Source organism: Homo sapiens, chromosome 13, assembly GCF_000001405.40.
Source record: "Homo sapiens chromosome 13, GRCh38.p14 Primary Assembly".
Lineage (NCBI taxonomy): Eukaryota > Metazoa > Chordata > Mammalia > Primates > Hominidae > Homo > Homo sapiens.
In genome coordinates this window covers 69,257,882-69,283,367 of record NC_000013.11, presented here as the reverse complement: position 1 = coordinate 69,283,367, position 25,486 = coordinate 69,257,882, and the positions used below count along the sequence as shown (strand labels likewise).

The 25,486-nt window shown below is 34.5% G+C and overlaps 1 long non-coding RNA gene across 1 annotated transcript in view; it reads right to left on the bottom strand.

Moving 5' to 3' along the window:
- Positions 1 to 25,486, bottom strand: part of LINC00383 (long intergenic non-protein coding RNA 383) — a 99,756-nt gene that overhangs the window by 38,734 nt on the left and 35,536 nt on the right. The window contains exon 2 of the long non-coding RNA NR_125752.1: positions 8,104 to 8,228. This is a non-coding gene — a long non-coding RNA (long intergenic non-protein coding RNA 383). The remainder of the gene's footprint in view (positions 1 to 8,103; positions 8,229 to 25,486) is intronic.

Genomic DNA, 25,486 nt, shown 5'->3' with positions numbered 1-25,486 from the left:
GGCTATAAAAAAATAAACAAGTAGTTCATACAGATTGGCAGCACTGGGGCTGAGGGATAGTTTATATTCTAAGGAAGATGCAGGGTCAGCCTTACTGAGAAGACAGTGTTTGAACAGAGATGTGAAGATGAAAGTATAGGGTACTTAGATTTTTGAGTAATAGGAGTTCCAGGCAGAGGCCAAAACTGGTACAAAGGTGTAGATGCAAGAGTATTCCTGGTGTGTTTGGGGAAGGAGAGGAACTCTGGGGACCGAGTGGATTGAATGAGAGGTAAGTTGAGGAATTAGTGGAAGTAAAGTTGGAAAAGTAATGTTATTCATATCATTTGGATAGGGTTTTTCATACTAGGTCATTCTTTGTTGTGGGAAAATTTTTGAAAAAGATTCTTTGCTTGAGCAAACTTGAATCAGGTTTTTGAATCCTCTGGTAGGCCAGCCCATCTGTGCACTTCCTTGTAAAATCCACTTTTAGCAAAGAACCCTGACAATTTAGCTTAGCAAGAACCACCCATCCTCAAGATCTGATCATCTTCAATATTGGATTAGGTTCTTCATTTACCACTATCCCTCACTTGATGTCATCACTGTGGCCTGGCTTCAGCACGAATGTTGTTGAGTCAATTCAGCCAGAATCCTCCTTACCCCGATGTTTCTTTTTAGCAATTTTTCATCCACCAATCCCCACCTGCTCCTTGACTATAAATTCCTACTTCTCCATGCTGTATTCAGAGTTGAGCTCAATGTCCCTTCCCCACTGCGAGATCCCATTGCAGTGGTCCCAGTGCCTATTGCAATAGTCCTGGATAAACTCTTAGTTACTAAGCTTTAACAAATGTCATTGAATAATTTTTTAACAGTTATGGTGTATCCCAATATGATTCATATTGTGAATCACCAAGCAAGGTATAGATTATAACTTTTCTCAAACCAATTTGTATATGGATTTATTCCTTTATAATCTATGTGTAACATCTTATGAGTCTAATATTTTAGGGAAAATGCTTTGAAATAAGTTAATGGGTCCCAAAATCTACTGCAATTTCAAACTTAGAAAATTCAAATTTTTATATCTTCATATTATTTGATCTTTTGAGAAAAACAAATGTCCTGCTTCTTAAAATCCTTACTGTTTTGGTTCTGAGTACTCATTTTTTTTTATTTAATCATATTTTCCTAAGTTTTATATATATGTATGTATATATCTGATCTGTAAAACAGAAATTTCATAAAATTATATTTTCAGCATGTTTACAAAATGATCCACATAAGATCTTTCTTCATTCCCACCACCATCATTATTTTCTGTATATGCATGACTTCAAGTCTAGTTTTACTTCTGACCTCCTGATTTTGAGTTTAATGAATTTTGACCTATTTGCATATTTCCATCTGCAAATTGAAATGTCTTGAATTGTATTTTCTTCTACTTCTTATTTTTCTTACTGTTGTCACTGTCAGCATCAAAATACTTTCAATCTTCCAGGTTAAAAATATAAAAATAGTTTTAGTTTCCCTTTTCATTTATACATAATATTCAGTTGGACTCCAAATTTTGCTGCTCTTAGCTTTAGTGTTTCTTGAAAGTTTTATTTTTGTTACAATTTTTTATTTCTGTCCTGATTTTCCTTAATCATTCTTCTTATGAACTATTAACAGAATTTTGGCTAGATTTTCTGTTTCCAGCCTTCTCTGAATAAATCCTTCAATTCTATTTAGATATCTCAAATTTTAGAGTTTTAACTTTCTGCTTAACAACTTCCATAACAGTGTTTTGCCTTTAAAAATGATCAATGCTGTAGTTAAGAGCATTAAAGTCCTATATGTTTGAGTAATATATATATATACACACACATATATTTTAAAATTTTCTTTTTTTCTTTATGTATTTCTCATCTATACACATATCTAATTTCCCATGAATACTGAACTGTCACTATCCTCTTCAGAGGATAGTGATATCATCTAGTATGCCTTACCTATTGTTATGGGTTGAATTTCATCCTCCCTAAATTCATGTATTAAAATTCAAACCCCAATATATCAGAATATGTCCATATTTCTAGATATGGTTTTTAAGGAGGTAGTTAAACTTAAATTATGTCATTATGGTGGGGCCTAATCCAGTATAACTGATATCCTCATAAAGGGAGAAAATTTGGACAAAATTGACTATAGATGTACAACCATGTGAAGGCACAGGGAAAACACGACCGTTTACAAACCAAAGACAAAGGCCCCAGAAGAAATCAGTCTTGCTGACACCTTGATTCCAGACTTCTAGCTTCCAGAATTATGAGAAAAAATAAATACGTTTTTTTAAAGCCACCCAATGTGTGGTACTTTGTTATGGCAGCCTTAGCAAACTAATTCCAACACATTTCTCAGGTGTCCATAGGCAGCTCTTCCCCTTATCTTTCCACTTTCTTCTACTGGGGACTTAAGTTTTTAAAATGCTGATCTAATTTTTGAAAGGTACTGATCCTCTGTTTTCTGCTCTGGTTCTCTGTCTGTTCTACTTGTTTAGAGGTTAAGGTTGGTGGTCTTCCTGCTGCTGTTTCATGAGTTGCTATAATTGAGGCAGTTGTGGTATTTCCCCATCAACAAATGTTTGGGTTGTTTACACCAGATCTTTCGTTTGAAATACCTCACTGACTGGGTTCTTATAGGAAGCTTGTCATAGAGGGATAATACAGCAGATCATGTAGTGTACATTAATGATATTAATGCAGCTACATTCGTTCAGCACAGGGTGTACTTTGGTAGGATATGTCAGCTCAGCAATTTACTCATCAGCAAAAAAAAAGCTTTTACTTTAGTTATTAAGAAAGTAGATTTGTGTGTTTCAACAGTTGACACGGGCAATTGCGTGTAGCCCTGGTCACTGACAATTTGAAATAGAAGTATTATGATCATCTGGGTACAGCTTTACAGAATAAAGAACCATTTTAGTTATCTACACATAGTATATCATCCTAAAATCTTGCAGTCAATGACCACTTACTTGTTAACATACCATTCCTGATAGTGGTCACCTTCTAGTTCAGCTTTTGCCTTATGTTGTTCTAAAAGCTGAGAGTGTCAGTGACTAGAGGAAATATTTGGCTTCAGAGTGTGATAAACACATATCAACGGCTTGCTGCTTTATGCAGCCTGCTCTCGTCTCTCGCCACTTTTTTAGCACGAGACATTATTAGCACTAGTCATTTTAATAATGATTATAGCATAAGCTTGAAAACTGAGTGAACTTAGAAACCTATATAGACATTCTTCCTGTCAATTCAACAACCTGGAGTGCTGGGATTCTGGATGGGAATCTTATACTAGGACTGTCATCCACAATAATTAACCAACCAAATTCACCAGTCATATTGCTATCTTTTAGCTCCCCCAGGCAGCCTCTAACAGAAATTCTGTTCCCCTAATGTGCACTGTACCCATATATCATTGTGTCTTTGCATATGCTTTTCTATAAATCTGTACTTATCAAAAGTGATCTGATAATTTTATAATCACCACTTTCTTTCTACTAAAAAAATCTTTGCATTAAAAACAGGTCACTTCTCTAGCGATCCAAAATACTTTGTTTCTACTGATGTGTTTATCAATCTACTCACTATAGTAAAATTCATTACTCACATGTCTTTTTATCCTTTTAGATTGTAAGCAATATGGTGCTCTTGAAGTATATAGATTTTGAGATAAAATACTCTCTATATGACTTTGTGACTATATTAACTTTTTTGAGTCTTCTTCATTTGTAAAATAGTAAACAAAACTTCTCATATATACTATAACTTTGATGGGATTTAACAACAAAGTGTTTGGAAAGTCCACTGTACTTAAACTCCAGAGACATCTACAGCTTTCTTTATATACACTCCTCAGAATATAAATACCAGCCACATACTTCACATACTGGGTACTTAATAGGTATTGTTGAACAAAAGAGTGAAGTTTCATTTCCTTTTCATTCTGTTTCAATGAAAATACAGACCAGCATTTATTCTGTATGACTGATTTTTGTACTTTTCAGCACAATATCCTATGAAGAACACTCAGTAATTGTCTGTTGAGTTATAAACCACAAAGGTTTTCACAACAAAAGTAACAAATTTAGTTGACTTTTCTAATCAGTTATTCCAAAATGACTTTTCTTTTTTAAAATCATTTTTTAAGAATTCTGTTCATAGCTGTAAGGCCAGATAACAATCATTAGCATTTATTGACCTTTAGCAGTAGTAATTTAATCTTTGGGGGAATAAAGTTGATTAATCACAGCTTGACATATTGAAATTTGGCATAATTCTTTCCCAAAAGTGCTTATAGGGCAGCAAGTTCTAGGGCATTTAGTATAATAACTAAAGCACATATTACAAATAAAATGTGTTCAAAAAAGTCTTTTTGAAATTTAAGGTCATCAATTTTAGTAAAGTCCTTCAATCCTGGAATAGCCTTGCAATAGTACAGATAATTGATCATATGTTTTAATCTCATCTCCATTCAAAAATTTCAGAAAAAGTGTGGCTAATAATTTAAGTAAAAGAGAAAGGGCAAATGCATAATAAAAACTAGATTTCAAAAGACTCTAACAGTGGGTGGAAGGAAATTTTTAAAAATATGGCCGATATTAAAAATTATATCACTTGACAAACATTTAACATCCTATCTTAACATGAAGAGGCAGAAACACTAAAAACTATATTTTTGGTGCCAATTAGAGAATCTCATAAGATTTCATCAATAACATATACTCACAGTAAACTTAAATTTGGAACGTAGTCAAATGGGGCAAAGGGATGGAACTGGGCATTCGTTTTGCATACTGAACTAGAGGCAGTAAAATTCTGGTAGATCTCCAATTCAGCAAAAACTTCTTTCTGATTATAGCAGACAGGTTGTCCTAGTCCATTTGTACTGCTATAGCAAAATGCCTGAGACTGGGTAATTTGTAAGCAAGTGAAATGTGTCTCTTGTAGTTCGGTAGGCTGGGACATTCAGGATCAAGACTCCAGCATTCACAGTTTGGCGAGACCCTTCTTGCAGCATCCTCATATGGTGTAAGGGCAAAAAAGGGCCTAGCTATTTCCTTCCAGCCCTTCTCTAAGGTCGATAATCCCACTTATGAGGCCTCCATCCTCATGACTCGAACATCTCCTAGATGTCTCACTGCTTAACACTATTGCATTGGAAGGTGAGTTCTACTATAAATTTTTGAAGAAGACACAAGCATTCAAACCCTAGCATAAACCATGGATATGGAAGCAATATTTTTATCAGAAATCTCCAAAGTTGGTAGGGTGATTATTGGTTCTACACCAATAATTCTACAGCTTCTGATTATGATAGGGAACAGCTTCTAAGGAAACCCATTGCAGAACTGTGGCTTTAGAAGTCCGGGATCAGCCTAGAGTAAGTTTTTCAACCACCCAAATAATTTAGTAAGCTAGCAAAAGCTATGAGATAAATTGTCCATCTTTATGCTAGCTGAAATGGATTTTATTCTAACCTGTATTCTATTTAACTGAATAATTGAATCAGAAATTTATTTAACAGCACGCAAAATATAGAAAATTGGGTTTCGTTTTCTGGATAGTTAGGTTGAAAGAGAATCAAGAGTACATTATAGATAGGATATTGACTTTTCATATTATACAGTGACAAAAGAATTAATTCATTATCTCTACATCTAAAATGAAGTTTCTGTTGAAGGAGATGCTTTATTAGATATGACAGCTGCTATGATAAAACCTTATAGTGAAAATGAAGCTTATCTTGCAGATTAAGTTACAGTGGATTTTCAGTGCTTAGTTTTACCTGGTTACCTACATTTTATTTGAAAGTTAGTTAAGAAAACACTTGACTCTGGAAAGTGCAATGAGGACATTTGGATGGAATTAAATAATGGTGAATATCACAATGTTCTCAGAGTCTCTGAGACTTCCTTCTCATTATAAGAAGCTTTTCTGTCTTTGCTTTGAAAGGCTATCCTTGTTTATCTTGTAATGGCCTCACTTAAGGTCAAGCCTTCACCAGACACTCACAGGAGATACCAGGTTTCCCTACTTCTCACTTCCATCACTCCTCATAGCCAGTAAACTCCAACCTGCCACTTGATGGCCAAGAAAATATCTGACCAAAAAAAATAATGATAATTTTACATAGTAAATAACACAGTATTTTGCTTATCTTCAGAAGTAAAAAAAATATGGGGGAATGTATATGAGACTAGTTGAAAATAAACATAATATTAAATTGAATTACCTTATGGAAATGAGAGTTTGAGAAAAGTTAACAAAGCCTATGGATTACATATCCTAGTTGATACCACTGAGGATGGTATCATATCTTTTCTTGGTTAGTACATTGAACCAAGAATCAAACTTAATCTATGATTATTGAAATTGTCGTGCCTGAAATTCTTTGTATTATAAACTGAAAGAAACTCCAAAACTTGGAGAGAGATAAATGTTAAATATAATTCATAATATATGAATTTTTCATAATTATGTATCCAGTAGGCCAAGGAGTTGTTTAATTCACAATGAGATTGAGAAATATATCATTTAAAACACTGTAGTGATTATTCCCTATAGCACAACAATAAATACGTGAGATGATTGAAAGTGGCTAATTAATTTTAGTGAGGATGATGGGATCCTAGAGTGTCAGGAGCAAAGAACCATCATCTGACATCTACAGGTGATGTAATTTCTCACTTAAAGAAAGATTTGGCCATTTAACTGTGTAAATATGCACTCAAGGAAGAAACATTTCCAGTTATTTGGTTAATACTTCACATTGTATCTGAGCTATCAGTAATCCGTAATGATTCAGAAGATGAACACTGTGGTCCACCAGTCAAAGTCCATGATGGAATGACTCTATCTCACCATGGGTTTTCTTTTCTTTTCTTTCTTTCTTTCTTTTTTTTCTTAATGGAGTCTCACTCTGTTGCCCAGGCTGGAGTGCAGTGGTGTGATCTTGGCTCACTGCAACCTCCACTTCCCGGGTTCAAGCATTCTCCTGCCTCAGCCTCCCAAGTAGCTAGGATTACAGGCGTGTACCACCATGCCTGGCTAATTTTTCTATTTTTAGTAGGGACAGGGTTTCACCATGTTGGCCAGGCTGGTCTTGAACTCCTGATCTCAAGTGATCCACCCACCTTGGCCTCCCAAAATGCTGGGATTATAGGCCTGGCCTATAGAAAACCACGCCTGGCCAGGTTTTCTATATTCATCAATTTAACCAATGAGTACTTTCTCAGATCCTGAATACGTTATTCATATACATATATTTGACATTTAACAGAAATACAAGCTTGTTTTCCTGACCTTAGACGTAAGTGTTATTACAGTAAAATGAGAGAAATGGAACCTCTAGAACTTAACTTCCTTAACAAAAGAGCAAAGTGATAGCAATACAACATTTCTGGGTGAGCTGCATAAATAAGTGCTATTATTGAACACCTGAAAAGTGTACATACCATACCCATATTTAGCTTACTTAACTGGTCTGTACAGACGTGTCCTGAAAAATTACTGCGGAGAAAATTAATGCATCCCCTGATATGCAACTCTCCATCTGCTAACGGCTTTTTCTCCATTCTTTAAGAGAAAGCACCAGATGTAATTTGATTAAATCTATCAGGGAACAGCAGTAGACCCTCATTTTCTTACCTCTGTGTTACATCAACTCTCCTATTAAAGGTCCGAATTAATCCAGAGGGACACTGATCATTTCACTACTCTCAAACATAGCGTATTGGTCTATAACATTTATAATGTCAAGACCTGGTGAGAAAAAAAGGAGCTATCCTGAATGAGTTGGCAAGACTTACACATTCTGAATGCTGAGAGAGATAAGTCTCAGAGTCTGCCTTCTAAATAAAGTTTCAAGGAGTCATTGTGTGTACATGTATGTGTGTGATATTTCTTCCAAGGTAAAAAAAATAAAGATCGTAGCTCCATTTACCCACTACTGCTAAAATAGAAGCACAGTGATTGTTAGGACGTTTTTAATTTTGGAAACAAAATATACCATATAGTTGTATTGTTATGACCCATTTTACTGGATAAATTGAAAGACTGCTAGTTTTTATCAGACCTTAAATCAAGAAGATGCTCTCCACCTTGTCCAGAGTTCACTTCAAGCAGCTCAGTCACCAGTATTGAAGACTCAGTAGACCAAGTTGAAAAGACAGGCGTTAAACATCACAAGCATTAGTTAAGCTGTAAAGCAAACACATAAATAAATGTTTATTAATTGCTTTGTAAAATAAGTTGAAAATTTACTGTTACAATATAACAAATGTGACTATAGAGAAAAAAGATATAGAAAAGAAATATAATGTGTACAATGTAATCTCATAGATTTAAAATGGATAAAGATTGATGATACTTGAGAAATAAAAAGTATTAAATAAAAGGAAAATATCATGGATAAAAAACTGCTATAGTGATTACACATAAAACTTTCAAGTATTTGTTTAGAGAATGACATGAAGTACTTATTCTATACTTATGGATTGATCTAGAGTACTTATTTATACTTATATTTGTCAACAACTTGTTGAATATTTACTTGCCAGAGATCTTTCATTCTCATTTTGCCTCTTTACTTAGCTCAACACAAATACTTGTGCAGAATATTCTCACTATTGTGCTGCAGAGAGAGGTGGAGGTTCTCTGCAGCATATAATATAAAGCACATATTTTGATATGTTTTTATATTATATGTAGATAGTGATGAACCATAAATGATGTCTTCTACCAAGCAATGATCATGACTTCCAGATGGAGATAGGAAAATTTACTGCTACAAGCCCTGGGCAGAGGTGATAACATAATTTTCACTCAGGTGAAGACTAGATATTTAGCTGGTGTGGACTCTGACCCTCCCTCCCGCCACACACACTCCTGTGCTCTGAATCATGACCTTTCCTTAGCCTGATTGCTCAACATTATCTTCCAAAGTAGTCACTCTTAGATCATTCTCTCATCTTAAGGTTTCACTATATTCCAGTCATACTTGTTTCTATCCTTCCACACAAGTATTTTTCACTTTATTCATTCATAATAGCTTATGATGGAAAATGTAGTTGAAAAAGTGCATTGCTTAGTTTAACTACAAGTCATATCAATAAAGGAAGATGATTCTTCCTTAAACAAAGGTAAGAAAGTTTCATTCTTCATAAAAAAAAATCAGCAAGGTATCAATTCCTAGACACAAAATAAGGGAGACACTTCTTTCTATCCAGGGTATATGGTTCTTTCTGTCAGAACTACTCAAATAATATTTTCTAATGCACCAACGTAAGGGTAAAAATTAAATTTCCCTTGCAAGACTGTTTGAGCATTCACATTCTGCTGCACAGCTAAATATTTTGGTTTTGTTTTAGAAAACCTGAAGAGAATTTTTCTAGTCATAAGGAAAACATTCTTTTGGAAATTAAAATGATATATATTTTCTTAATATAACCAAGTAATAACTTGAGAAGGGTGTTTTGATTATTAAAAATGCCTGTTTTATATACATAATACATTACTTACATGAACTGGAATTTTTTATGACCTAGGGAATACTGAGTTGTATAAGAATTATGTTGGATTTTTGTTAGATAAATGCAAGTGAGAGAGGGGCAAGAGAGTTTCATTGGATAGTTCTTGTTGTAGTCACTGAGTGGTTTTGTCGACAGATGAATGCTAAGTGGTTATAGTTATTTGTGAGTGCAGTATACAACACTTTGAAACAAGAACAGCATAAAATTAAAGTGCTTTCATACAGAAAAAAAAAAACCTACCAACAGGGTAAATAAACAACTGACAGAATGGGAGAAAATATTCACCAACTATGCATTTGACAAAGTTCTAATATTCAGAATCTATAATCTACAAGGAACTTAATCCAATGAACAAAAAATAAACAACTCCATTAGAAAGTGGGCAAAGGAAATGAACTTGTTTCCCACCATGAGAGGATTCACTGCATCTTGATTAAGGTTAATAGTTAAGGTTAGTTTGTATAATTTTATTTCAGACAATCTATTAATTAAATCCTATTGGGTGGAGCTGCCAATTAGCCATTAACTTCTAACAAAGCATATATGAAATGGCCATGAATAAATGATTAACAGCTTTTTGAGACATACAATTTGTGGTACTAACTTGTTGATGGTTTGCTAATATTTTTATTTTCTTTTTCGTAACTTTAAAATTATTTAACTGTACCCTTCTTTAAATATTACTTTTTATATTTCTGAAACAATGCTTCCTCCATGACATTTGTCTTTGAGCATTGATAATAAGTATCCCTTTTGTTATTTATTTTTGTGCATTTAATAAGTTAACTATAACTTTTAATACATGCATCTTTATCAATTCTCTGATCTCTAAATTACTTCTTTATATTTGTAATCAAAGTGCACCATTTATTATTAATGAGGTTCCATGAAGAATGAGCAAACTGTCTAAAATGTGTTCTGCTTTTTATATAATAACCTATTTTATTTTCATTAAAATTTGGAAGTAAGCATTATATTTCCAGTTTTACAAATGAAGAAAAACTATCTTCCCTTTTTCTTCTCTTCTCATTGCCTCCTCCTGTCCCACTCCCATAGATATAGAGGGATGACCACAACCATTGAAAATCCCATTATATGTAAATACCCAAAAGAGGGCATTCACTGTTGATGAGAACTAAGGAATCAATTAGACAAAATAACTTGGCCAGTTGATGGTCACCAACTACCGTTATTGGCTATCCTAGAGTTAGCACAGAAAGCGTAAGAATGAAATAAGTATGATAGCAGTAATGGCAGTATGCAGTATCCTTACAGCATGAATTCCAATAGTGAAGTTATTACCACTTTTGATGTTCAATCTCTCAGCAACAAAAACACACACTGAGTCTACAATCCTTGAAGAGAGACTCTGGATACTTGGTGGCAAATGGACTCTTTTGGATTTCTTCTACCATAGAAGGGGAAGCAGTCCATTTTTGAAAGGAAGAAACACATATTCCAAGAATATTAATTATGTTCCTGCATTCTGACCCTTAAGTAGCGTCTGTCCCCAGAGACTTAGAAATTTTTTTATTTACCTGCACAGAATTTCACATGACATGTCAGATCAATGCACTTACTTTACACAAAAAAGATGCATGAATACACCCATGTCCATGGTATCCATTGAGTATTTCACAGTAATGACATCCAAAATCTAGAGGCCGATGGGAGCAATGGAATACCTAGCCAAATGCATGGCAAAAGCACCAGCTTGATACTAATATTTTATGAGTGAGATACCACCCTGCAGAATATATCAAAGACTTTTAAATGGTGATGCATCCCAGCAGGAAGAATGCATGGTTCAGAATTCAAGAGCTGGAAGCAAATATAGGCCTACTTTTTAAAATGATTTTTTTTATTTTCAGTTTTTATGGGTACATAGTGTGTGTATATATATATGAGGAATTATCCCACTTACCACCATCCTATGTAGTGTTCTTGGGATCAATATAGGTGAAAATTATAGTAAGGAGGCAGGATTAGGCAGAAGGAAAATCTGACTTGTGTTACATATTCAGCAAATAGCTTTGGATGGTGCAATTGAAAGATCCCTTAAGAGTTTTCCCATTTCAGATGGAGAGAGCAATGGACAGACTAGGGAAGAGGCATGAGTGAAGTACTGAAGTGATTCTTGTGGGTTTGGAGATTTTTTATTCTAGAGGGGAAACTTTTCTATTGTGGGAAATACAGCAAGAAAAACTACCGCTTTTGTTTAGGTATTTCAAGGACTTAGTGCCAAGGGTCCGGCAGGCAAAAAGGGAATTCTTCATCTTGTCAGAGAGAACTGAACCTGATTATCAAGAGGAGGTAGGGAGGAATGTATTTGACATTCAGGTAGGCTATTTTTGTGCTTTTTGATACTCCTTTACCTAATTTTGATGTTTAGTGAATAAATCCAGCAACAGTGAGCTACAAAGATTATGTGACTTATGGCTCAAGTTTCTCAGGTATGAGGATGCAAGTCATGCCACCAATAAGCCCACAAAGACCATTAGAAGTTCTGTGTGAGCATAAGTGGAATCTGAGACAGTAGAGGAAACTATGAGTATTGGTTATAGCTCCAAGGGCAGCTGCAATGCCAGGGGCTCTATCTAGTTCAAAACCTAACCTGTCTTACTTCAGTTTCACCCAAGAAATGATACATGAGAGGGCTGAAAGAAATGTTTCTGAACTCTGTATGAAGAGTGTATCTGAGCAGTACAAGAGTGGACTGTGGAGCAAGCTATGATGTACTATGACTCCACTACTGAGGATACTGCCAGAAAATTGCTCTCAGCTGTCAGTCCTCTTTTCACTGATAAAAAAGTACATCACCTAGGGTCAGACCTCTTTCCTTGGACAGTCTTCATTCAGTGACTAATCAACCTAGATTAGTCCCCTTGTACGATATTGGAACGACACTGAAGGGGGCTCCCTATTGGGCCAGCCACATCATTATTGAGCCTGCACCCATAGCTTGGCCCAATCCTGCTTTCTTACTCTCTTGTTTCACAGCTACAAAAATCTAATAAAACTCTTGGGTGGTAATTGCCATCTCAATGTCTGCTTTTTGAGCAATCCAACTTAAAGCACTTATAAGAAATTCATTGTGAGGCTGGGCGAGGTGGCTCACGTCTGTAATCCCAGCACTTTGGGAGGCAGAGGCAGGAGTCGGGAGTTCGAGACCAGTCTGACTAACATGGAGAAACACTGTCTCTCCTAAAAATACAAAATTAGCCAGGCGTGGAGGTGCATGCCTGTAATCCCAGCTACTCGGGAGTCTGAAGCAGGGGAATCACTTGAACCCGGGAGGCTGAGGTTGCAGTGAGCCGAGGTCACGCCATTGCAGTCCAGCCTGGGCAACAAGAGCGAAAGTCCATTTCAAAAAAAAAACAAAATTCACTGTGTACCCAGCAATATTCCAAATATTAAATATATGTACTATATATAATATATGTACACAATATTACATATAATATATTTTATATATGTGTATTATATATGTAAATTCCCTTTGTCAACAGAAACATGTATATGAACGTATTATTTAATCAACTAGATAAGAAGGCTATACAATATTATAGAAAAGGTCATCAACATAAATTAAACAATGTTTTTAAGAACTAAAAATAAACTATACATCATGTATATAGACACTCATTTAAAAATTATTACAGTATTTTTTTAAATTACTACAGTATTATGTGTATTATTGTATTGTATTATACAGTATTATGTGTATTATTGTAGTCTCTGTAGTCATAATCATTTGATGTTATAATAACTTTTTTGAACATATTTGCAGGGAATTCAGATTTTCTTTGGTGTGAAAAGTATATATGAAAGGTAAAATAACCTTATTTTTTCAGTACCTGAAAAAGTTTTTGCAGGCATGAAGGTTATTTGTTGTAATATTGGCTCTATTCTTCATATCTGTGATAGAAAAATAGAGAGGAATATGAAGTAGTATTTTCTAAGAATTCAACAGTACTTTTTATTATTAGCTCTTCATCATAGTTGCTAATACTAACTCCTTTATTTCCATCAAGGAAACATTATTTTGAATAAATACTTTTTAATGCAATGTTAATTTATACTAACATGAAAGTGAAAATAAGGTGTGACAGAAACTCAGTAAGGATTCTTCAGGAGGATAAAGAAACTGTAGAAATTAACACAGTTTTATTTTAAAATTAAAATGCATTCAATTTAGAAAAAAAATTAGAAAAATAACTTTCTTTCAGTAGCAAGTTTCTTTGGAGTAAATTGTTCCAATTTAGAATTTTCTTTTGTTATGATAGCAAGTAGAGAAAAATGCCAAAGGTGATAAAATGCATAAGCCTTAGATAAAAATCACTGCTTTACTATTTAACCTTTTCTCCTCTCTCCAAGGTGATGTACAATAGATTTCCTTAAGAAATTGTAAGTAAAAATAACATTTATGCATGCAAGAAATGTATGTTTACTCTGATTTTTCCAAATTGACAGATAGCATCGTATGTTTTTATTGTGTACAACAAGATCCATTAAAGTATTCAGTGTAAATATACATTTTGGAATGTTTAAATCCAGCTAATTTACAAATATATCACCTCAAAAATTTTACTGTTTTTAAGATCAAGAACAAAATTTATTGTTTCCAAGTAATCAACTATTATTATTCCTTGGGCCTGAAGAAATTTTCAGTTTTATATTTATATAATTTTACCTAGAAAACAAAGTACTAATGCCTCTGAAAATTTCTTCCAAAATAAGAAGTGATTGTCCAGAGCTACATCAATGATACAACAGTAACTTAAATGACATAAATTTTAATGAGAAACATCACAAGTTATTTTATCAATTTGTTGAACATTTTAATAAATAAATGTAGTCTCAATATTTTTTTTCTTTATAGTATGGAGAAGAAGAAGAAAGAAATGTAAACTTCTATTATTTAGCTGAAAAAAGCATGGAATTATATATAGTCACATATGAAAACTTCTTCTTGCTTACTGCTATACAGATGAATAAAGGTTTACTTAAATTTATATAAATGTTATCCCTGGGAAAGATTTTTTTTGGATAAGATATGGTAATAGCCCTGTCATTATGCAACAATCACTATGAAAGTGTAAATCTAGGAGAAGCTGTAGTGAATAGTAGACTTCTCCCAGTATTTCATTCCTTTGTGTGTTCAACAAACAGTGCAGAGCCTTATCCAGTAGACATTTCAAAACTAACCTACATTTATCTTTTAAAATATGATTCCTTTGTCACATTATATAATTTATTTTTATATTATTTTTCCTCAGTGAGTAAAATAAAAAATATAATATACTTATATTGTACTCTGTGAAAACTTAAAAGTAAATAATAAATACATATTTGATTAATTTATTCAAATAAAATACAAATGCCTTAGGAATTCAGAAAAGTATATGTATTCAAATGAGCTAGATTAGCTATATGGAATGTAAGTCCTGAGTTCTTACACTTTGACAGGAATTGTACAAGTAACATCACTTATACAGGCACATTGAAAGAATAGGTAAGTTGGCCAAGAATGGAAGAGGGAAAGATGAGTATTTAGAGAAAGGTAACAGTACTAACTGATAGGTGTGGTGACAAAGGCCGGTTTTAAATAAAGTGTTAGGACTGAGGAATACAACTGGAAAGGTTTGCTAGGACCAATTGTGGAGGGCTCTGGATATTAGGTGAGCTATGTTTATAAAAGCAGCTATGTTTTAGTAAGTAGTTACTATGTATTTTAATATATATTTCTATAAAAATTGTATAAACTCTAACAATTTTTTGATATTAAAAATGAAATTAAGAATACATTAATTAACTTGCTTGAGGTCATATGGCTACTAACTGCTACAAATAAAATTTATACCCAAGAAATCTGATGACAGAGCTTCTACTAATAACCACATAGTACATGGCCATTGAAATGCAGTTTGTCTGGACTGCTTGTTTTGTTATTAATTTTATATAGAATGTCTCTAGTTATTCTATAGGCAGGTTATCTTGGGTATTGGTTTTAAATATATGTTATCTATGATTTGAGAAAACATCGTTTTTAGTTTATGGTATTGTTCACAAATATAATTGAATTTTTAAAACAGCATTTATCCATATGATGTTTGCTACTAGAGATTAATGTTATAATTATAATTTTGTTCCTTATTTGATACTCATATTCATTTCTCACAAAATATATTATATAAATATATACATATATGAGATATTTGATTAATATTTATTATTTAAAGATATTTGTTATTTTAAAAATCAAATAAAAATTCACCAACATTTTACAGTGCTGAGTTTTCTATATGAAGTCAGCCAAATTAAGCCATAATTTAGTTTACTTATATTTTTATTTTTTACTTATGTTTATATAACAGATATATTCTAGTTATAAAAATGCCATTTATTATGGAAATATTAGAGTGAAAACAGGAAGTTTATTTTCAACACCCTCAACCTCCAAAATCAAGAGCCAACTTCCCTTGCCAGAAATAGCTATTTCCACCAGTTTGCCATGTATCATTCTGGAAGTGTTTGTGTGCATCTATAAATATCCTTCTGTGTATGTATACATATATAAAATAACTTCTATTTTATGAAAAGAGGGTTATATTTTGTATATTGCTTTCTGTTTAGATTTCCTTTAAGTTAATTTTATTGTACTTAGATTTTAAATATTTATAGATCTACATAAGTTTTATAAAGAACGCATTGTATTCTACATTATGCATGAAACAATTAACAATTTATCTATTGATGCTCATTTGGATTGCAACCATATGCATATTGTATTTTTATATGCAACATTGGATAATATAAAAATACTTAGCAAATGTGCATACAATTTAGCTTTTGATGGCTATTGTGATTAAAATTTCCCTTGAAGTAGAATTTATTATACTTCCATCAATATGCATATAACATACAAACAGATATATGTGTATATATATATACACACACGTATGTATGTATATGCTGTTGTCAAGCTTTAAAATTTTACCAATATTATTTCTCATTTTTTTTAAAAAAAGCACAGTCAACAAGTAACAAAGGCAAGTAATTATTGTATAAAATTTTACAATACATGTAACTGATGACTGAATAATATCAATCATATATAAAGATCTTGAATCAACAAAGAACAGTTAAATCACCCAGTAGTAAAATTGTCAAATAATACAAAAATACAGTTCAGAAAAGATAAGGACAAATACAAATAAGTATATAAAAACATACTCATATTGCAAGAAAATAGAAAACATGTAAATGTGTGTGTGCTTGTGTGTGTATGTTTGTGTGTATATGTGTCCTAAGTGGTTTACTATGCTTTCCCTTTACTAAAAAAAGGGTTTATTGTCTCTGTTATAGTGTCTTGTGAGAAATTAGAGTCCAAAAGAGTCTCAGACTTGAAGCCAATTCAAAATTATTTTCCAATTCTTTCCCACTGTACTGTCACCAAGCACACAAAGCTGAAGACTGGAGAAGTGTAGGTGTGTAGAAAGAATAATAATACCTATTTGAATAGATAAAAGTGTTAATGCAGGATATTTTATATATTATAAAAAAAAGGTAGAATAAAACTTAAAATGGTTTCTGTCTTTATTCATACCATTAGTAGTTATAGTATTTTCATACCATAGCTATATGTTTTAATTAAACTTAGCATATTAAATGTAGCATAAACTACATATTAGTGTTACAGCATCATTAGCTATTAATGTTGTTTTCTTGGTAGCAAAAGTAGAATCTTTATGTTCAATGGTTGAAAAAATTACATGAAATGTATTATTAGCAAACAGCAAAAATTACTGTATAATATGTAACGAGTTAAAAATATACAATATGGAATATATGCTAGTGAAAAGGTATAATTATTAATTACAGATTCTAGAAATGGTAATATTTCTTTTATCAAAATATATTAAATTAAAGTTTAAGTACAAATTAATTGTGAAGCCCCATTAATGTGTTAAGCCTATGAACTTTGCTTCATATGTTCTTATCCTTCAATAACAGATTATGGAATGGGCATTGGGTCAAGACAGCAAACTAGAAGCAGCTCATGAGTGCTGCTCTCACTGAGAGGAAACAAAAGGATTAGTGAACACTGACCCTACAAGCCAATCATCTAAGAAACCACATTGGGATCTATCAAGGCAGCATGGGGACACAGAGAGCACAGAGGAGCGAAGCTGGTCAGCAGCCTATCTGGGATGTACACAAAGCCAGGAGAAGCTCCCTAACACAGGAAAGTGTGAGTGAGTGAGAGGCCCCTGGGGGATTCAAACTCCCCACAGGTACCTGTGCAAGCCTGGTAACAGGAGAATAATCTTGGCTTCCACAGCAGACCCCTCACCCTGCCCGACCCCCACATGCTTCTAAACGGAGGCAGCAGCAGAGAAGCAACAGGAGATTTTGCAGAGGCAACTCTCAAGTCCAAGAGGACTTCTACAAGCCTTTGACCCCAGATCACACTGGCATCAATGCCAAAGCCCCAGTAGAGGCTACAGTTGCAGTGCTTGGGGCAGTAAGATTGCCCCACAAACCCCTTGTGAGATGACTCATCCTTGGCTTCGGCTTCTGGCCCAGATGTCCCACTTCTGTCTGAACTCAGTTGGCAGCTGCTGTTTCCTATTGTCCTGGGGAACACCTGGATGGCAGATTAGGTGACTATACCCAGCCCCCACCATTGGTAGCCAGAAAGGCAAAGCCTGATAAGGCTTCTATTCCAGGGGTCACGCTTCTGTCTGAAATCAGCTAGTGAACAGATCCTCTTGTTCTGGGAAACACCTGGACCTCAGGGTGGGTGACTCCACCCACCACCGCCTTTTGTAGCAGTCAGGCCACACCTGCTAGAAGTAGTAGTCCTAATTCTGCCTAAATTCTGCCAAGGAGTGCAGCCTCCTGTTGCCTCAGGAAGCACCAGCAAGGCAGAACAGGTAACTCCACTCACCCCTGCCTCTAGTAGTCAGATGACCCATACTGAACTAGAATTTCCAGCCCAGCAGTCTCTCGTCTCTCTTCTGTCTTAACGCTACAGGAAAGCAAATCCCCATGTTCCCCTGGGAGGTACCTAAACAGCAGATTAGGTGGCCCAACACACCCCCACAACTTATAGACAAATGGGACTTGCTACCTTGTAGCAAGTAGGGAGGAGCCCTCAGTCTCAAATAACAGAAAGGTAAAATGCCTGGTTTTCAGGCTGCTGGAGAAGCAGGGTGTGCCTCACTCTGTAGAGCTGACCTGGCAAGTATACTGCCTGCCTGCCAACAGTGGCCCCTGCCTGAGGGAACCATGTGGACAAGAACACCAAACAAAAGAAACATGGGCACAGAGCCAGTGATCAGAGGGGTCTCCTCCAAGGCCCAGGAGTGAGCTAGATGAGGGGATCATCTCTCCCTCCCCACAACAGAGTACTACTGCCAAGTGCACCAAGACACAAAAGAGCTCTGCAGCAGAGTAAGATCTTATCTGCTAGCTAACACTCTTAAGCACTACTTACTGGATTGCAGCCTAAAAGACAACACCAAAACATTTCACCAGTATATGGAATGTGTGAAAATTAAAACAAAGGCTCTCGCCAGCACCACTCTCCAGCCAAAGCATGTGCACCTAACTGCCCTGCCATGTCTGTTGGAATATGTGAGTGAGAAAAAATGCCACTGCCACCACCCAGATGAAACACTTTGGCTGGCACTCCATCAGAATATTGAGGCCAGTGGACCCAAAACACCTTGGCCCCTTCAACACAGCAGGTTCCTAACCCAAAAGGCAAGAGAACAAAGTTGGCAACCCATTATCAATCCCCAGAGTTAGAACATGAAGAACATGCAGCACAGGAGTGCTGAGCTAAGCCTTGGCTCAATGGACTATATATTTAAGTGTGTTTTTGTGGTGGCTGTTACTAGTCTTCTGATTTCATATTTATAACTCCCTGAAGGACTTCTTGTAAGGCAGGTCTGATGACAATGAATTCCCTTAGCATTTGCTTGTCTGAAAATGATCTTATTTCTCTTTCACTTTTCAAGCTTAGTTTGGCCAGATATGAAATTCTTTATTGGAGTTTCTTTTTTTTTTTAAGAATGCTAAATATAGGCCCTCAGTCTCTTTGTCTTGTAGGGTTTCTGCAGAAAGTTCCACTGTTAGCCTTATTGAGTTTTCTTTGTAGGTGACCTGCTTGTTCTCTCTAGTTGCCATATATATATATATATATATATATATATATATATATATATATATATATATATATATACACACACACACACACACACATATGTAATGGTAGACCTTGGAGAATCTCATGAGCATTTGTCTTGGGGGTAGTTGCAGTCTATAGTATCTCGCAGGAGTTCTCTGAATTTTTTCAATTAGAATGTTGACTTCATTTGTTAAATTGGGGAAAATTTCCCTGAGGATGCCCTCAAATATGTTTACCAAATTGTTTGCTTTCTTACTTTCTTTTTCAGGGACACCAGTGAGTCACAGATTCAGTCTTTTTACATAATCCCATATTTCTCAGAGGTTTTGTTCATTCTTTTTTCTTTATTTTTGTCTGACTAATTCCATCTGGAGAACCAGCCTTCCAGCTGTGAAATTCTTTTCTCAATTAGTTCTATTTTACTGTTAATACTTGCAATTGTATTACAAAATTCTACTAAATATTTCAGCTCTATCAAATAAGTTTAGTTCTTTCTTAAAATTGCTATTTAGTTTTTTAGATTTTGTATCATTTTATCGTATTCCTTAGATTTCTTGAATTAGGTTTTGACTTTCTCCTAAACCTTGATTATCTTTGTTCCTATCTATATTCTGAACTCTACATCTGTCATTTCACCCTTCAGCCTGGGTAAGAACCCTTCCTCAGAACTAGTGCAGTCATTTGGAGGTAAAAAGACACTCTATCTTTTTGACTTTCCTAGGTTCTTGCCTGTTTTTTTCTTTTCTGCTTGGGCCAATGTTAGTTTAATCTTTGAAGTTGCTGTCCTTTGGATGAAGTTATTTTGCTTTTATCTTCTCTGATGCCCTTGGGGGTTTGGTTTTGGTATAAGATGGATTCAGTTGACTGGCTTTGATTCTAGAAGATGTCACAGGGCCAAGACTCTGGGTCACAATGAAAGCAGTGTTAAGAGGGACGTTTATAATGCTACATGCCCACATCAAAAAGTCAGGAAGGTCTCAAATTAACAATCTAACATTGTATCTAGAAGAACTAGAAAAACAAGAGCAAACCAACCCCAAAGCTAGCAGAAGATAAGAAATATCCAAAATCAGAGGTGAACTGAATGATATTGAAACATGAAAAACCATACAAAAGATCAAAGAAACCAGAAGTTTGTTTTCTGAAAAAATAAATAAGACTGAAAGAAAATTATCTAGACTACTAAAGAAAAAAAGAGAGAAGATCCAAATAAACATAATCAGAAATGTCAAAGAAGACATTACCACCAACCCCACAGAAATATAAGAAAACTCTCAGAGACTATTACAAACTGCTCTATGAACACAAACTAAAAAACTTACGAGTAATGGATAGATTCCTGGAAATGTACAACCTTCCAAGATGGAACCAGAAAGAAACTGAAACCCTAGTCAGACTAATAATGAGTTCCAAAATTGAATCAGTAATAAAAAGCCTATCAATCAGAAAAAGCCCAAGAACATACATATTCACATCTGAAATGTACCAAATGTTCAATGAAAAACTGCTACTACTCCTACTGCAACTCTTCCAAAAATCTGAGTTGAAGGGATTCTTCCCTAACTCATTGTATGAGGACAGCATCATTCTGATGCCAAAACCTGGCAGAGAGACAACAACAACAAGAACCAAAAAACACTTCAAGCTAATATCCTTATGAACATTGATGCAAAAATTCTCAGCAAAATACTAGCAAACAATAATCCAGCAGGATATCAAAAAGCTAGTCTACTATCATCAAGTAGGCTTTATTCCTGGGATGCAGGGTTGGTTCAACATACACAAGTCAATAACGTGATCCATCACAAAAACAAGACTGAAAACAAAAAATCACATGAGCATCTCAATCGATGCAAAGACTTTCAATAAAATTCAGCATTTTTCATGTTAAAAACCATCAACAAACTAGGCATTGAAGAAACAAACCTCAAAATAATAAGAACCATTTATGACAAACACACAGCCAACATCTTACTGAATGGTCAAAAGCTGGAAGCATTCCTCTTGAGAACCAGAACAAGATAAGGATACCTACTTTCATCACTCCTACGCAACATAGTACTGAAAGTCCTATGTTAGAGCAATTGAGAAAGAGAAAGAAATAAAAGGCATCAAAATAAGAAGGGAGAAAGTCAACCTATCCATCTTTGCAAAATATATGATTTTATGTGTAGAAAAATCCATAGTGTCTGACCATAAGCTCCAAGATCTGATAAACAACTTCAGCAAAGATTCAGGATACATAATCAACATACAAATTTGTAGCATTTCTATATAGCAACAACATCCAAGCTACATACCAAATGAAGTACACAATCCCATTATGTACACACACACACACACACACACGCACACACACAATACCTAATAATACTGCTAACCAGGGAGATGAAAAGCCTCTTCAATGAGAAATACAAATCACTGCTTAGAAAAATCAGAGATGTCACAAACAAATGGAAAAATATTCCATGTTCCTGGATAGAAAGAATCAATATTCTTAAAATCGCCATACTGTGCAAAGCCAATTATAGATTCAATGCTTTCCTATCAAATACCAATGGTATTCTTTACAGAATTAGAAAAAAATTGTTTTAAAAATCATATGAAATGAAATTCTGTCCCCAAAGCCAAAGCAATCATAAGCAAAAAGAATAAAGCTGGAGTTGGAGGCATCTCATTGCCCAACTTCAAACTATACTACAAGTCTACAGTAACCAAAACAGCATGGTATTAGTACAAAAACAGATAAATAGACCAATAGAAAAAAATAGAGAGCCCAGAAATAAAGCTGCACACATACAACTATCTGAACTTCAACAAAAACAATCAATGGAAAAAAGACTCTATTTTATTAATGGTGCAGGGATAATTGGCTAACCATATGCAGAAGATTGGATTGGGACCTCTTCTTTACACCATATACAAAAATCAACTTAAGATTCATTAAAGACTTAAATGTAAAACCAAAAACTATAGAAACCCTTGAGGAAAACTTAAAAGATACCATTCTGGACATAGGCCCTTGAAAATATTTTATGATGAAGATGCCGAAAGCAATTGCAAAAGCAACAAAAAATTGACAAGTGGGACCTAATTAAGCTAAAGAGCTTCCATGGAGCAAAAGAAACTATCAACAGAATAAACAAACAACCCCAAAGACAGTGAAAAAAATCCTTGCAAACTACGCAGCTGACCTTACAAAATTTTATTTTATTTGTGTTTAATATTTATTTTTTAAACTTTTATTTTTTTAAATTTTTGTGGATACATATTAGGGGGGTGTGTGTGTGTATACATGTATATATATTTATGAGTAACATGATATATGTTGATACAGGCATTCAACATGAACTAATCATGTCAAGGTAAACAGGATATTCATCACCTCAAGCATTAACCCTTTGTGTTTCAAACAATTCAGTTATACTCTGAGTTATTTTTTTAATGTACAATTAAATTATTTTTCACTGTAGCTATCCAGTTTTGCTAGCAAATACTAGGTCTTATTTACTCTATTTTATGTACCCATTAGCTATTTCCCTGTCTACCCCTCACTCATTCCTGACTATTTTTCCCATCTTCCGGAAATCTTCATTCTACGCTTTATATTCAGGAGTTCAATTGTTGTAAATCTTAGCACCCACAGATGAGTGAGAACATGTGATATTTGTCTTTCTGTGCCTGGCTTATTTTACTTAACATAATGACCTCCAGTCGCATTCCTTTTATTGCAAATGGCAAGATCTCATTCTTTTCTATGGTGGAATAGTGCTCCATTCTGTATATGTACCATGTTTTCTTTATCCATTCATCTCTTAATGGACAAAAGTTGCTTGCAAATCTTGGCTAATGTGAATAGTGCTGCAAAAAACATGAGGTTTCAGATATCTCTTCAACATACTGATTTCCATTCTTTTGGCATTTACCTAGAAGTGGGATTGTTACCAGAAAGGGGTCCTGATCCAGACCTTGAGAGAGGATTCTTGGATCTCACGTGTGAAAGAATTCAAGGCAAATCAATAGAGTAAAGTGAAATCAAGTTTACTAAGAAAGAAGAAATAAAGAATGGCTACTCCACAAGCAGAGCAGCCCCAAGGGCTGCAGGTTGGCTAATTTTATGGTTATTTCTTGATTATACTCTAAACAAGGGGTGAATTTTTCATGAATTTTCTGGGAAAGAAGTGGACAATTCCTGGAACCGAGAGTTCCTCCCTTTTTGTACCATATAGGGTAACTTCCTGACATTGCCATGGCATTTGTAAACTGTCACGACACTGGTGGGAGTGTCTTTCAGTATACTAATACATTATAATTAGTGTATAATGAGCTGTGAGGATGACCAGAGGTCTCTTTTACTACCACCTTCGTTTTGGTGGGATTCGGCCACCTTCTTTACCACATGCTATTTCATCAGCAAGATCTTTGTGACTTGCATTTTGTGCTGATCTTCTATAACACCCTAAGATTGCCTTAACCTCTTGGGAATGTAGCCCAGTAGGTCTCAGCCTTATTTTCCTCAACCTCTATTCAAGACGGAGTAGTTCTGGTTCAAACGCCTCTGACAGGATTCCTGGATTATATGGTAGCTCTATTTATAGTATTTTAAGGAAACTCCAAACTGTTCTCCATAGTGGTTGTACTAATTTACATTCTCAACAACATCATATGAGTGTCCCCTTTTCTCCGTGTTCTCACCCGCATTTGTTATTGCCTGTATTTTGGATATAAGCCATTTTCACTGGGGTGAGATGATATCTCATTGTAGTTTTAATTTGTTTCTTTGATGATCAATTATGTTGAACACCTTTTAATATATCTGTTTGCTATTCGTGTGTCTTCTTTTGAGAGATGCCTATTCATATCTTTTGCCCAGTTTTTGATTGAATTATGAGTTTTTTTAATATAGAGTTGTTTATGCTCCTTTTATATTCTGTTCATTAATCCCTTATCAGATGGGTAGTTTGCAAATAAATTATCCCTGTATTTGGGGTTTCTCTTAAATTTCTTCTGCTTTGCAGAAGCCTATTAACTTGATATGCTCTCATCTTTCCATTTTTACTTTGATTGCCTGTGCCTGTGGGTTTTGCCCAAGAAGTGTTTGCCAAGATCAAAGTCCTGGAGAGTTTCTCCAATGTTTTCTTTTAGTAGTTTCATAGTTTGAGGACTTAGATTTAAGTAATTAATACATTTTGATTTGATTTTTGTATATGGTGAGAGATAAGGTTATGGTGTCATTCTTCTGCAATGTATATCCAGTTTTCCCAGCACCATTTATTGAAGAGATGGTCATTTCCACAGCGTATGTTCTTGGAAACGTTCTAAAAAAAGATAAGGTCACTGTAGATGTATGGATATGTTTCTGGGTTATTTATTCTCTTGAACTGCTCTATGTGTCTGTTTTTGTCCAGTACCTTACTGTTTTGGTTACTATAGCTCTGTAGTATAACTTAATGTCAGGTAATGCGGATACTCCAGTTATGGTTTTTTTGTTTGTTTGTTTGTTCATTTGTTTTTGCTTAGATTAGCTTTGGCTATTCTGGGTCTTCTTGTGGTTCCATATGAATTTTAGGATTATTTTTCCTATTTCTGTGAAGAATGTTATTTGTATTTGGTGGGGATTTTATTAAATCTGTAGATTGATTTGGGTAGTATGAATATTTTAACAATATTAGTTGTTCCAATCCATGAACATTGAATATCTTTTCATTTCTTTGCATTCTATTCCATAT